The 14525-nt window shown below is 34.8% G+C and overlaps 1 protein-coding gene across 10 annotated transcripts in view; it reads right to left on the bottom strand.

Annotated features, from left to right (window-relative positions):
- Positions 1-14525, bottom strand: part of SCFD1 (sec1 family domain containing 1) — a 113597-nt gene that overhangs the window by 23560 nt on the left and 75512 nt on the right. For 7 of the 10 annotated variants that reach the window (NM_001283031.1, NM_001283033.1, NM_001283032.1 and 4 more), the window contains 4 exons: positions 12033-12103; positions 9916-9995; positions 6406-6468; positions 4226-4301 (listed from right to left, as the gene is read on the bottom strand). In NM_001283031.1, coding sequence (NP_001269960.1) covers positions 4226-4301; positions 6406-6468; positions 9916-9995; positions 12033-12103 — 290 coding nt within the window. Of the gene's footprint in view, positions 1-4225; positions 4475-6405; positions 6469-9915; positions 9996-12032; positions 12104-14525 lie in introns of those variants that run through there. The other 3 variants (XM_047431165.1, XM_047431166.1, XR_007063993.1) reach the window with 2 other exon arrangements.

The raw sequence follows: 14525 nt of genomic DNA, 5'->3' as shown, positions 1-14525 counted from the left end.
TCAGAGCCCTGGAGAATGAAAAAGCCCTATGTGGACCTCCTGTAAGAGGACGCTTATCTTGAAGGCAGTTATCAGCCAAGTAAAGAATTAGATGGCGTGTGTGGACACTGGAAACACTGGAGATGAGAGATGTATCAATGATAGAAGGGTGGAAAGTTGCCAGTGAAGTGAAGCTACGAGGAGAGGGAATAAGATGGGCTGTCTCTTTCCAAAATTTAAAATTATAAACCAGACTGTGATCTACAGAGTGTATCTAATACCCTTATCTTACAGATGAGTTTAAAAATCATCTCGTGTTCATGGCAATAAAGAAAATGAGATTATGTGAACTCACCAAGACACATCTATCCCTCTCTCACCCAGCTTCCACAAGTATTAACTCGTGGCAAATCTTATTTCACCTGTACTATCACCTACTACCCATTCCCCTACGTTGTTTTAAAGAAAGTCTCCAATATACAATCAATCATTTTAGCCATAAATATTTCAGTACACATATCCAAAATATAAAAACTCTTAAAAACCCCAAAACACTATTACCACTCCTAAAATAATAATTTAATAATTATTAAATAATTTATAAGTTATAATATTACATAATTAACAGTGATTTATTCTCTTCTGCAGATTCACTGAGGTATGACTGACAAATAAGTTGTATATATTTTGGGTGTACAACATGATGTTTTGATGTATGTATTTGTTATGAAACAATTACTACACAACTTGATATCCAGTCACTGTTGTATAAATTATCATCCATCTCCCAGGCTCACGTGATCCTCCCACCTCAGCCTCCCAAGCATGTGCCACCATGCCCAGCTAATTTTTTTGTATTTTTTGTAGAGATAGATGGACTTTTGCCATGTTGCCCAGGCTGGTCTTGAATGCCTGGGCTCAAGCAATCTGCCTGCCTTGGCCTCCCAAAGTACTGGGGTTACAGGCGTGAGCCACTGCACCCGACATATAAAATCATGTTTTATAGTTTTCTTGTTCATATCATAATCTTAAGGGCCAGACATTGCAACTGTGTATTTTAAGTCTTTTTTTAATCTATGGATTTTCACTGCTTGTAATTTATGTGTTGTTAATTCATTTTTAAAGGAGGGATTATTTTTGCAAACAGGCCAAAGAGAGTAAAACAGAAATCTAAAATTATGCAACTGTATGCTACATTATTCATCTTCACATTCTTGTACAATTATCCTCACACAAATAGATTCCAAATCTGTGAATAACATTCAACTGGTTTTATGTGATAGTTGATACTTGTGATGCACAAAACTTATGCTGCCCATAAAACAAGGTATAAAAAGCTCTTATAAGTGACCTAGAAAACTGGATGTAGTTAATCCTATTCTAATTTATTTATAGTTTAAACTGTTTATTCAGATAAAAAGATCCAAAACAATATTTAGAGATTTAACAGGCATAAATTACTCATAATATTCCAAGAGTGAAACAGAACTGATCTTCAGCAGTGTCTTCTTTGATACCTCTTACCTCTCAGTTCCCAAACTGCCCAAGACCTCCCACCATAGTACCTCTAAATTTTAGAATATAAGGGTAATAGAGCTTTAACATGGATTTCTCTGAGTTTACATATTTCTAGAGACTCTTTACTCGAGGATAATTTGGTAATATTTATTAAGAACAATTAGAAATGTCTACACTCTTGATTCTAGATTTCAATCCTAGCAATTTGTCGTGGACAGTAGTAACCAGAGATGAAGATGTACCCAGAAAAAACTAACATTTAAAGCTTAGGTAAGCCTGAGTATTTGTCCTTCAGTACCATCTATTTTTTCTCTTTTTAAAGAGCAACAAAAAAAAGACTACATTGAACTATACTGTATGACTATTACTTTTACTTGATGATAATATAAAATGAACCATTCCTACCCCCTGTCAATACCTATTTCTCTAATTCTGAACTTTTTTTTTTTTTTTTTTTTTTTAATGACATGGCTCTTCTGGTAGTGGTGGCAAAAATATACAGATGGGGTGACCACTGATCATTTCAAATTTTACTTTTGTAAGTGAGAAACTGCCTATGTCAAAGTGGTATGTTATTTGCAATATTAAAAAAACAGAGATGTAAGATCATAAAGAATTGTTTCTGTATCTTATGCACTCCAAATAAAATAAAACTTTTGTGTTAGCACAATAAAATATTTAAGAATTGACCAATTTAGATGTCTTTTACAGGTATCATAGGGGATATATACCATGTGACTCTGAGGTAGTAAGTTCAAAAACAAAACAAACCATGATTATTCTAAAGGTTAAAGTCTGTAATTTCTAAATATTATGAGTTATATGTTACAAGAAATACTTTGTTTAGGGAAATCTTACTATTGGGATTTACTTCTAACAGTGACATGTGAAGAAAAATATGTAATTCTCCTTAAAAATAAACTACATATGGTTATGTAATAGCCAGTCTATCTAGCAAAAGGCAGACATTACCGTAGAAGTTGGTGGTCCCCCTTTGTCTCATGAAACAAAATCATTTTGTCCACAGTTGACGATAAATAAGAACCGGGCGCAGGCTAAGCCGTAAAGTATAGCACATTTGTCTCTAATGTGCCCAAACTTCCTATTGTGCCTTTTCACATATAGTCTAAGAGGGTGAAGATAAGCTGATTCTCGACAGTACTACGAACGAGTAAGAAAAAGTAGCTTTAGTATTTGGTAGTAGCTCCTTACCAGGAGGTAGAATGAGAGAGATTGACAATAATTTCTAAAAGGGATAATGAGGCCAGGCACAGTGGCTCATACCTGTAATCCCAGCACTTGAGAGGCTGAGGTGGGAAGATCACTTGAGCCCAGGAGTTCAAGACCTGCCTGGGCGACATAGTGAAACCCCATCTCTACAAAATATACAAAGATTAGCCAGGTGTGGCGGTGCGTGCCTGTAGTCCCAGCTAGCATCACTGCACTCCAGCCTGGGCAAGAGAGCCTGACCTTGTCTCAGAAAAAAAGAAAAAGAAAAAAATAACTTATTAAACCACAAATAAAGATTAAGTATATAAAATACCACAAGCAAACATTATAAGAAAGAAAAGTGTGGAGGAAAGAAAAGATCTTGTTTTTTTCTGAATACAGGTAAATAAACAATATTCAGGTCTGAATAACTGATTCTTTTGATTTGGCCTTTAAAACCCTTCTCACTGCAAACTGAGTTTCTGTGTAAAATATTATCTCAGTTTTGCCTTAAAATATTCCAGTAAAAGTAAATAAAAAACACAAATGGGATAGATGAAACAAGAATGGATACTGACTTAATTGAAGGATTCAGGAGAGTTTGATAATGCATATTTGAAAATTTCCAAAATTAAAAGTAAAAAACAAATCTTTTGAAAAGATACCAAATTAATAATGACTGAAGCAGAATATCTATATATTAGAATAGAAAAATCACAGAAACAAAAAAGTCATTTAAAAGTGTCCTATATACAAAATGAAGGACTAAAAGAAAGAAAATGCGAAATCGAGGTACAATTTTATTATCCCCAAATATAAATTCTATTTAAAATATTTTGTTTAGTCCAATTTACATAGGACTTTAGATATGAAGTTCATTAGCTTATTAATATTCTCTGATTATATGTTAAAAGAAATGATATTCATTATGTAACAGTTCACTATTCTAAATAGGTTAGGTTCATTCTTTCAATTAACGTACTTTCAACAACCTGATGGTAAATACAAATCAAAATGTAAGTAAAGTCCAAATCCAAATGAACAATTTTTTTTTAAAAAAGTATAAAATTACAGAGCTCTGAGCTACACATGTAAAAAATACCCTCAGAGTCTTAAATACACTAATAAAGAACTCCTTGATTTCTAACTCAGGAACAGAAAACCAAATACCACATGGGAGCTCAACAATGAGAACACATGGACACAGGGAGAGGAACAACACACATCGGGGCCTGTAGGAGGCCGGGAGAGCAATAGGGAAGTGAGCTAATGGATGCTGGGCTTAATACCTAGGTGATGGGCTGATCTGTGCAGCAAACCACCAAGGCACACATTTACCTATGTAACAAACCAGCACACCCTGCACATGTACCCCAGAACTTAAAAAAAAAGGAACTCCTTGATTTTATGATTCCTATTTATTACTTGAATAAATCCAGGAGTTGCTTTACCTGAGCAGTTAGCCTGTCAACATTTATGTTTAAAAGTTACCAGTATGTTTTCTAACAAGTGTACTTACTTGCTGTTTCAAAACCAGGTTCTTCACTCCTTCCATCACAAACTGTGATCCTGTATTCATGACTCGTGATAAAAGACTAGGTAGGGGCAAAAGAGAAGGACCATTCTAAGTACAAAGTGCCTCTCCAATCTGTTATCGATAAAATATTTACCTGATTACACACCACATGCTGATGCTCGCTGTACCTACCACCTTTGTTTTCACTAAACAGAAGGGTCTTGAGAATTTCTGCTGCCATGGGTATCACAGCTGCAATTTTATTTAACAATAAAATAGTAATTAAAATACTCTGATTAGTCAATAATTATTAAAAAATACAAAAATAAAGAGCTGCCCTCAAAATAAACATCTTAATTTCCTAGTCTTAGCTATATTTTTTTTTTGCGAGTTATAATTTGAAGAGAATTCCTTGCCTTCCTGATTGTCTAATGCTAAAAAAAACCAATTTAAAGCTAGTAACTTGGACAATTTGCTTTAGGAGTTCAAACCATATGAACATATTGAAAATATATATGCAAGTATTACGAGTAAGTCAAACATTACTGTGTTCTCTTTTATCAGCAGCTGGATCCAATTCTACATTGTATATTTTCTCTCCTCTCTATACATAAAATCTATCATAAAAAAATGTGAAACAGAACAGACTTAGCGAATTTTGCCTCAACTCTGAGAATGTTGTCTACATTTTAAACAACAACAACAAAACACCAATAAGTGACTTGCCATACTGGGTTTATATCTGTGGTTCAAACAGTCTCTCACATGGAATTAAAAGATGTTTTGTGGGACAGATTAGTAATCCTGCATTAAAATCTCAGAAGGCTAGGGACAGCTTTCAGATCACCCAAGAGCTTCTTATAACATATTTATCAAAATCCCAATTGTAAAATCATAAGAACTCTAATAGGCTAATGTTCAATAAGATTTTTAAGGGATGAAACTGAAAAGTCTATTTTATTAAACACATGGAAGTAATTTTCCAAAAATATTTTCCTTTTCCTCATCTTGCCTTACTCCCCTCTGAAATGAAGAGATGGACAGGATGGAAATCTTTTCATTAACAGAAGCAAGAGAAAGTAATCCTTGTTGGAATGAATGGCCCTGGAGCGATTCCTGTCACCAGGCAACTCTGTGGGGGTGTGCTAACCTGCGCAGCACTGTCTGAAGGTGAGGCCAGCTGGATTCCTTTTGCCAAGTACTTATAAGGCTGAGTGCTTTTGTTTTTGGAAATTATTTCATTAAAACCAGTTACTCAGTGTGGGGCTAGGATAAACCTGTTCTCCTCTGGCTTCCTGCTTTTGTTTTAGCTCTAAAAAGTAAGCTAGGAATTGGAAACTGTATGGTACCAAAAAGAGTAGTCAGAATTACCTTGTTCAGTTTCTCTGAAAATCACACATACTCCACTGGGGTCTCTGGAGTAAGATGTCATACCTAGCCCTGAGGACTTCCTATCATTTAGCACTGCTTGAATCTATCCTGAAGCCAGGCCTAGCTTCAAGTCTATATTAGTTATCAACATTGGTACTAAAACAGTTTTAACCTTCAAATGTTTTCTGAAAATGAAAACTATGTTATAATAACAAACAAGCATATGAATAAAAACCATCGAGAAGACAATATTTGTTGTAGAAAATTTGGAAAATAAAGAAAAGTACCCCAAAGAAAAAAACTATACCCCTTGGAATTACCCACTATTAACATTTAGGTGTATATCATTTCAGCTATGCAATTAAATGTATGTATGTGTTTACTCATCCACACAGATACACACAGATGGATAAATGGATAAATAGGGATGATACTATAAAAAATGTTATCTAAGTTTCAGCTCATACCATGTAAAAGACATTAACTTACATTTTAAAGTGAGAATCTGAATGTGCCCAACACTAAAAAATGATAAATGTTTGAGGTGATATGCTAATTACTCTGATTGGATAATTACACATGGTATGTATTAGCACACTGTACCCCATAAATATGTACAATTATTAAATGTCAATGAAAAATAAGTTAAAAAATAGAAAAAAAAAACCAGGAGAACTTCAGCCATCTAAATGTCACCAAAGGCATGGTGACATTTTCCGCATTCAAAGTATCAGACATTGTGTTTTTAAGGCATGAAAGTCTAAGTAAGGTTTTGAGTACAAAGATGCAAAAGAATTATTAAAAATACTTACCCCATTGGTTTAGTGGTAGTGCTGCCATAGCTGGCCGGAGCTGAGGCCATCTTGGTAAAAGCCCTATGAAAGAAGGAAGTTGTACTTAAAAGCTAATTATTAGAACTAACTCTGGGTGTCACGGTATTAAAATATCTACTGACTAACTCTAACTTCTATGATGCAGACATTTTCTGAAAAGAGAATTTTTCAACGAATACAAGTACACTACAATTAGTACTAAAACACTGAATTATTATTATTATTTTTTGAGACAAGATCTCACTCTGTCACCCAGGCTGGAATGCAGTGGTGCCATCATGGCTCACTGCAGCCTTGACCTCCCAGGCTCAAGTGATCCTCCCAACTTGGCCTCCCAAAGTGCTGGGATTACAGGTGTGAGCCACTGCGCCCAGCCTGAAATTCTTAAAGAAGCACAAATGCATTAGTTTTCCAAACTTCCTATTTTTCTTCATTTCTATCTGATCATTTAAATAAAAAGAACTGATGTAGAGACTTGATGGCTTAAAAGAACAACCATGTAATAATTTAGTCTTTTTATTGTTTCCTACATTCTATGCTCCCTTGTTTCCAGGTACATGCCTTTGCTCATGCTGTCCTTTAGGGAGTATAAATTCACTACCTTCTTCAATAGAAACTGTACATTTCCTTTTAAGACTAAGTTCAAAACCACTTTCTTTGTTAACACTTCTAACTCTACCACTCAATGATTTTTCCCTTTAGTTATATTATATACCACAGATTTTACACTTAATTGCATACAGTTGTTTATTTTCAACTCTTTCTAAATGTCCAGAATCTCTGTAACTAAACAATACGATTGATGAAGGATGGGCAGAAAGATGGCATTTAGATGTGCCTTAAAAAATATTTTTATTCTGAGAGTATTTTCACTGTAGAGAATCCAGAAAATATAAAATGCTCCCAGAAGAATCCTACCACTTTGAGGTAACCCCTGTTAAGATGTTGGTGTATAGTCTTCTAATCTTAGGACATATGCCTATTTAACATATATGATTTAAAAACCAAAATTAGCATCATATTGTATACACTGTTTTATAACACATTTTAGTGGCACACCATAGACATTTTATGCCAGTCAGTATTCTTTCATAATGATTCTTATTTTAAATGCTTTGTAACTGGGAAAAAAAGAGTACCTAAAGAAAATTTTATAAGGGAAAAAAATGTAAATCACTAAGATGTGGTAGTAGAAATGCTAAAAATATTCAATTTCAATCTTGACAAAATGTGCCAACAATACCCTTAGAGAAATCCCAAACAAAAATTTCAGTCTTGTTCAGAAAGGATGATGTGAATCAGCAGTGGATTAGAATTTCTGCATTAACAACAACAACAAAAAATAGTTTTTCACTAGAAACAATATCTAAACAACAAAGAAGGGTTAAATAAATAACAGTATATTTATATGATTTAATATTAGGCAAACAGTAAATACTTCCATGAACTGGCATGATGAAAGTTATTAAGAACTAGAATACAAAACTGTATCTCTAAAAATGATTTCCCAGTTTTAAAAAATATCTGGCTGGGTGCAGTGGTGCACACCTGTAGTCCTAGCTACTAAGGAGGCTGAAATGGAAGGATCATGAGCCCAGGACTGTGAGGTTACAGTGAGCTATGATTGTATCACTGCACTCCAGCCTGAGTGGCAGAGCAAGACCTTGTCTCTAGAAAAAAAATCTGTCATATGTATAAACAATGAAAGAATATACACTAATGTTTACTTGTAGTGCAGACATGATGCCACAATGAGAAAATTCCACACTGACCTCTTGTCAGGTTGCAGTCCAAATGCACAACTTAAGAATATTGATAAAATTACCTTTAGGCTATGCATATGAGACAATAATTGATTTTTTGTTTAGACTTGGGTCCCATCCCCAAGATATCTCATTATTTATATATATATATATATATATATATATATATATATATATATATATATATATATGCAAATATTCCCAAATCTGAAAAAATCAAAAATCCAAAACACTTCTGGTTCCAAGCATTTTGGATAAGGGGGATTCAACCTGTATTATAAAAATTGGGAAAGACAGTTTTCAGTTTTCCTTTTAAACAAAGGTTTGTTGTGTATTTTTTTTTCTTATTACAAGAACACAGACAAAAGTAAGTTTCAAAAGTCAAAAGTATAGATAATAAAAAGCACTCATAATCTCAGCACTCAAGAGATAACTACTGTTAACAACTTGGTGTAATTCTCTTGTTATGCTTTTTTTTAATGTAATTGTGATCAGAAAGCCTATTTAATCCTTTAGTCTTAAAAAATTAATTATTTTAAAAACTATTTTGAAGGTAATAGTTTTTGTAGAAAATTTGAAAAATAAAGAAAAGCACCCAAAAGGAAAAAAAATTCTACTATTTGGAATTATCTACTATTAACATTTAGTTGTATGCCATTTCAACTCTGTAATTACATGTTTTTATGTGTATGCTTATATGAACACATACATATGGATGAAAAAATGGATAAACAGGGATCATAACTGTAAAAAATGTCATTTAAGTTTTGGCTCAAATGTGACTGCCTACTAGATGCTTTCCCTGATCTCCTAAGCAAATTTAGCTATCACCCCCAGCAGGTTAAAATCTTACCACTTAGTTTTATTTCTTATGTCATTTAACATGGTTTAACATTATTCTGTTCATTTATTTGCTTATTTGTTAATTGTTTCCTCAACACAAATGTGAATTCACTGACAGTTGGGGCCTTGTTTATCATGCTCGCTATTAGGAAATATTTATTAAACAAATCAATGAAGAGTGTTATAATTTTTTTTTTTTTTACTTTGCAATATAACGTGAGCATTTCTCAATGTCATTAAGTAAGCCTTCTGATTTTTAATGACTTGACTGTATTTATCTTGCAGAAATACCACAATATACTTACTAACACTACTGCTAGACATTTAGGTTGCTTTTAAAAATTTCATTATTACAATTGTGTCTAAAGTCTTAGCTCCAATTACTTCTTTGGGATAAATCCTTAAGAGAAGTACTAGGTCAGAGCTATTTTTAAAGAACTCTTTATACCATCCAGAAAAATTTTGACAATTTATATTCCTAATAGCAGAGTATAAAATGCACAAGTGAATTTTCCTGTATCCTTGGCATGGTATTTTCTAAACATTTGCATTATGTTAATTTGCATTTCTTTGATTACTAGTCAAATTAAAATTTCCTCTTAATGCCTTGGAGACATTTGACTCCAGACATTTCGGTCTTTGACTTTCTCACCTTATCAGTAAAGAAACTATAAAGCTTGCCCAGGAAAGAAAGGCATCACTGTTTTATGTAATTTTAAGTTGTAAACAGGGTGGGCCAGATAAGGAAATATTTATGCCACTGGATATATAAAACCACCAAGGCATTGTTCAGTTTTCTTATTAGCATTCCCATTTTCTTGGGAATGAAGCCTCAATTGTACTCTTTTAAATGACAGGAATTAAAGAAGAAAATAAAACTTACTTCCACTGTTTGATATATTGTAAAGGATTAAGGTTGCATCCTGCATCAGTTAAAGCTTTTTTATATTGCTCCAAATCAGCCTGAAATAAGAAAAGAACTATATGACAAAAAATTTTACTTTCAAGAAAGATGTTATTTGTTGCCATTTGATTAATTAAAAAGTAAGACCAAAGGCATGAGTTTAAATTCTTGGCACCCAAGTAGAGTGGAGTCACGTCTTAAGTGAGTACCCAAGTGAGCACCCAAGACAAGAAAATCACATATAATGAAAATTACCTTTAAGAGGCTCCCAAATCACCTATAAAAGTACAGTATTTTTAAATTTCTCAGCAAGTCCAACAAAGCTATTTTTTCCTTTACTGCTGGGATAGACTGCTTTTCTTCAGGACACACACTAAATGAATGATTTGGTTTGACCAAGAATATTTCTAAACCAGAAACACAAGAGGAATGACACCAACTGAGGGGAGCTGCAGATTTCGGTTTCTCATCTCATTTTCATTCTAGGGGTCCAGATTCATTAACTGGACAACAGGTGTCCCGCACTTTTAAATTTTTTTTTTTTCACTCTTCCTTACTCATTTTCTGATAAGTCTGGCTGAATTTGTGTAACTTAAAGGAGCCTATCTTAACGATCACTTAAATTTATGAAAAGACATAATCCTTACCAAAAGTAAATAAAAATAATGTGGTTAAATTAAGGGAACACTGAATTAAGTTTTAAAATCACATATTCTTAAGAAAAATATTTTAATTAGGCTATTAGAATACCCTGAGATATATAGGTAAACCCCTGTTGATGAGAGAGATACTTTTTTTTTTTGAGATGGAGTTCCACTCTTGTCCAGGCTGGAGTGCAGTGGAGCAATCTTGGCTCACTGCAACCTCTGCCTCCCAGGTTCAAGGCATTCTCCTGCCTCAGCCTCCCGAGTAGCTGAGATTACAGATGTGCACCACCACGCCCAGCTAATTTTTGTATTTTTAGTAGAGATGGGGTTTCACCATGTTGGCCAGGCTGGTCTCAAACTCCTGACCTCAGGTGATCTTCCCACCTTGGCCTGAAAGAGATACTTACAAAAAGAAAACCACACTTTCTTAAAAAATTAGAAGTAAAGCTTTGTGTTCCCAGGGTAAAGCAGAATGGCTGAGAGCAAATATCAGGTTTAGTTTTGCTGTCTTAATATGCCAAAGATTTTTGACCAACAGAAACCCTATCAATTTACCAGATACTAACAACAGCAACAACAAAAAATTGCTACCAGCAAAGGAATGGAGCTTAGAACAGCCACATTCTAAATGTCATCTTGAGGTTCTTATGCTTCTTGCTCATCCAGTAAAAGTATACAGTTAACATTAAAGTCAACAGTCTCTAACCCAGAAGAAGTCTGATACCAAAATCACCACTTTCTTTTACAGAATAGACAACGTATTTTCTACATTGGACATTAGTTTTAAAACAATCTTAAAATAAGGTCAACCTTTCAAAAAGCATAGCAAATCTGATTAACTTAGTTTAGAATAGTTATTTTCCAAAAATAAGAATGTTGGCCACTGAAATTCAGTTTACATTCCAACAACTTAAAAGTAGTCAGATGTTTCACGGGTAGTTTCCCCTGGTAACAATAAAAGTTGCTATAAAACACAGCAGTACATAGAAGCAGCCTTAACAAATTGTTTTTCTTTTTTTTCTTTTATTTTATTTGAGATGGAGTATTGCTCTGTCACCCAGGCTAGAGTGCAGTGGCATGATCTTGGCTCACTGCAACCTCTGCCTCCCAGGTTCAAGCGATTCTCCTGCCTCAGCCTCCCCAGCAGCTGGGATTACAGGCGCACGCCACCACACTTGGCTAATTTTTGTATTTTTAGTAGAGACGGGGTTTTGTCATGTTGCCCAGACTGGTCTCAAACTCCTGCGCTCAAAGTGATCTGCCTGCCTCGGCCTCCCAAAGTGTTGGGATTACAGGTGTGAGTCACCACGCCTGGCCATTTTTCTTTTAAAGAAAGAAATGAAGCAGATATTTAGCCACAGTGATTTTTACTTCTGTTTTAAAATCTGAATTGTAGTAGTCTACAAACAAGCATTCCCCTTCCTCCCAATAACTGAATAAAGGACATACCTCAGAAGGTGCTTGCTGTGTGCTTATATAATAGATAAGAAACAACCTCATTTTATCTTCTGGAGTTCCTGCTGCATAGGGGAAAAGAGGTTAAAAAATATTTTCATAATTGTGGTTATTATGTATTATAGTCAACACAAGTATGTTACATTTCAAGGCATATATAAATGTGACAAAACAAAACATGGCTCTTGATTTAACTAAGGTAACAGGCATATAATTATAACCATGTAAAATACAAATATGGAAAAGATTAAATGAGGTGGGATTAGAGGGCTGTGATTATGAGAGCATCTCTATTGTATCTTCCAAATTGTGTATAATGTTGAGATTTCCCTTTTAGATATAAACTCACAATGAAAGGAAAGGATATAAGCAGGGTAACCATACAATTCTGAAACAGGATACTTTTGAGGTGGCAAAAGGGGTGCCAGTAACAATTACATAAGGACAACTGGTATGAAAGTGGGACTATCCTGGGAAACCAGATGTATGGTCACCCTAGGAATTGGGTTATGAGACTTTGCTGGCTAAACAAAATCATCTAGCTGAGCCTAAAGCCATACTTCTCAAATTGGGGGGCCCCTAAATACACATGTTTCTGAAGGCTTTTATATTACTATAAGAATGGGAAAACAATATATTTTTATTAAAAAAATTGTTATATCACATAGAATATATTTGCCTCAAATTTTAAGACAAAACATAAGACTTCAAAGTAATGTCTTGCTTGCAGTGCTCTGAGTTACTACTCTTAGTACCCAAAGCCCAAGACTGTCCAGAGAAACTCATTTATTGTCTGTTCTTCTATCATGTATGTGCACTTTGGTGGAAAGGTGATAAAGCATTGTTCTCGACAAATAACAATATTCAGTCTCACTTTAAAGTGCATCCTAAGATGCAAGAACTCAGAATTGTTGTATTTTATGATAGAATAAAAACTAGCTGATTTTCTTCAAAACATAATGACTGATAAGACACTTATTTTTTATATGATTTGGAACACTAACGCTCATTCTCTAATTATCCGTACTCCCTGAAGATGACAAAGAATGGTAAAATAAAGATAATGGTAAGTTCTCTAAAGTTCTCATGTTTACAAATAAATATTGTATTTGGGGCATTTGGAATATTAGGTTATGAGACTCCAGGTCCTGTTAAATCCTAGGACAATACTGATATTTTTGTTTTAACAGGTAATTAGCCTGATTCAGTACAGGCTAATGTTCCTACCAGCCTTCCGTAGGTTATTCTTCCATCATCGATTCTATTTTCAAAACCTCTTGAAGTGCTATTGAGATCTGTCCCATGAACCAGTGGTCAGTCTGGGGACTGGGAGGTCGTCTTCTAGCTCTTCCCCTCTCAGTCTTTGAAATGCTGTTTAGGATCAGCTTCATAGATGTGCAGTTCAGGGGTGAACCCAGGAATTCATGAACAACTTTATGAGGTTACTTTCCTGAGCTCCTTCCTCTCCACAATCTCCCTGGTACTTTCCCATTTCCTTGGCCTTCCCTTTTTGGTGCCCCAGCTAGAAAGCTTTGGCTTTGGTCACCCTGCTTCACTGAGCACTTCCTGCCGTAACTGCCGCAACTATGATCAACCAGCTAGAGGACAAAGGGCAAAAGAGTAATGAGGCTTGTCCTACCCGCTTGGGACCACAGATCCTAATATACAAGAGGAAGGTTCCCCTCCCTCCGAGTTTTAGGGCCTGTGGGTCCCCGAGTTTGCTTCCAGCATCTTCAGCATCTAGCACAGCCTTTTCTAATAGTAGATACTTACTTTGCTTAAAGAAAGAACAGCTCCCACTCTTCTTCAAGAGGAAACATACTTTAAAACTGCTACAGTGTTAATAACTGCCTTAGAACATCTGCTAAGGTTTTAAAGACCAATCTGATGCTAAGGGCTGGGGAGCATACTGATGGTTATAATGACATAACCACAGGGAAACCAAACTGAAATTGTCAGCATGTGTCCTTTACAACTATGATTATTCTAAAGCCTGTAGCTACAGCTTGGAACCTCTTGTCACACGCACCTCTCTCCTTTGACTGCTGCTTTAAAGTTAGAATTCCCTTACTGAGTAATCTGATGTATTTTAGAGAAAAATTTTAAGTACAGTTTGGAGAGCTTTTGTTCTCCCTGAAATTTTGAGAGTAAGATGCTGACCTGCTGTCCCATTACCCCCAAATGTCAAAGACATTCTCTAACACAGCCTCAGTAAAACAATTAGCAAAATGTGATATTAACACTGGCACCATTACAGCGATGTGATATACTACATGACACATTCACTATCATTTAATTCTCAGATCCTAGTTGAAGTTTTACCAATTATGTCTACAGTATATTTAATGGAAAAAGGATCAATTTCAGAATCATGTGCCACATACAGTTGTCATGCCTCTTTAGTCTTCTTCTGTATGAAACAGTTCCTCCATTTTTCCTTGACTTGCATGGCCTTGGTTACTTTTTAAGACTATAGGCTGGTTTCTT

Source organism: Homo sapiens, chromosome 14, assembly GCF_000001405.40.
Source record: "Homo sapiens chromosome 14, GRCh38.p14 Primary Assembly".
NCBI lineage: Eukaryota > Metazoa > Chordata > Mammalia > Primates > Hominidae > Homo > Homo sapiens.
Note: the sequence above shows the minus strand (reverse complement) of the source record. Positions and strands in the feature narration are given on the sequence as shown.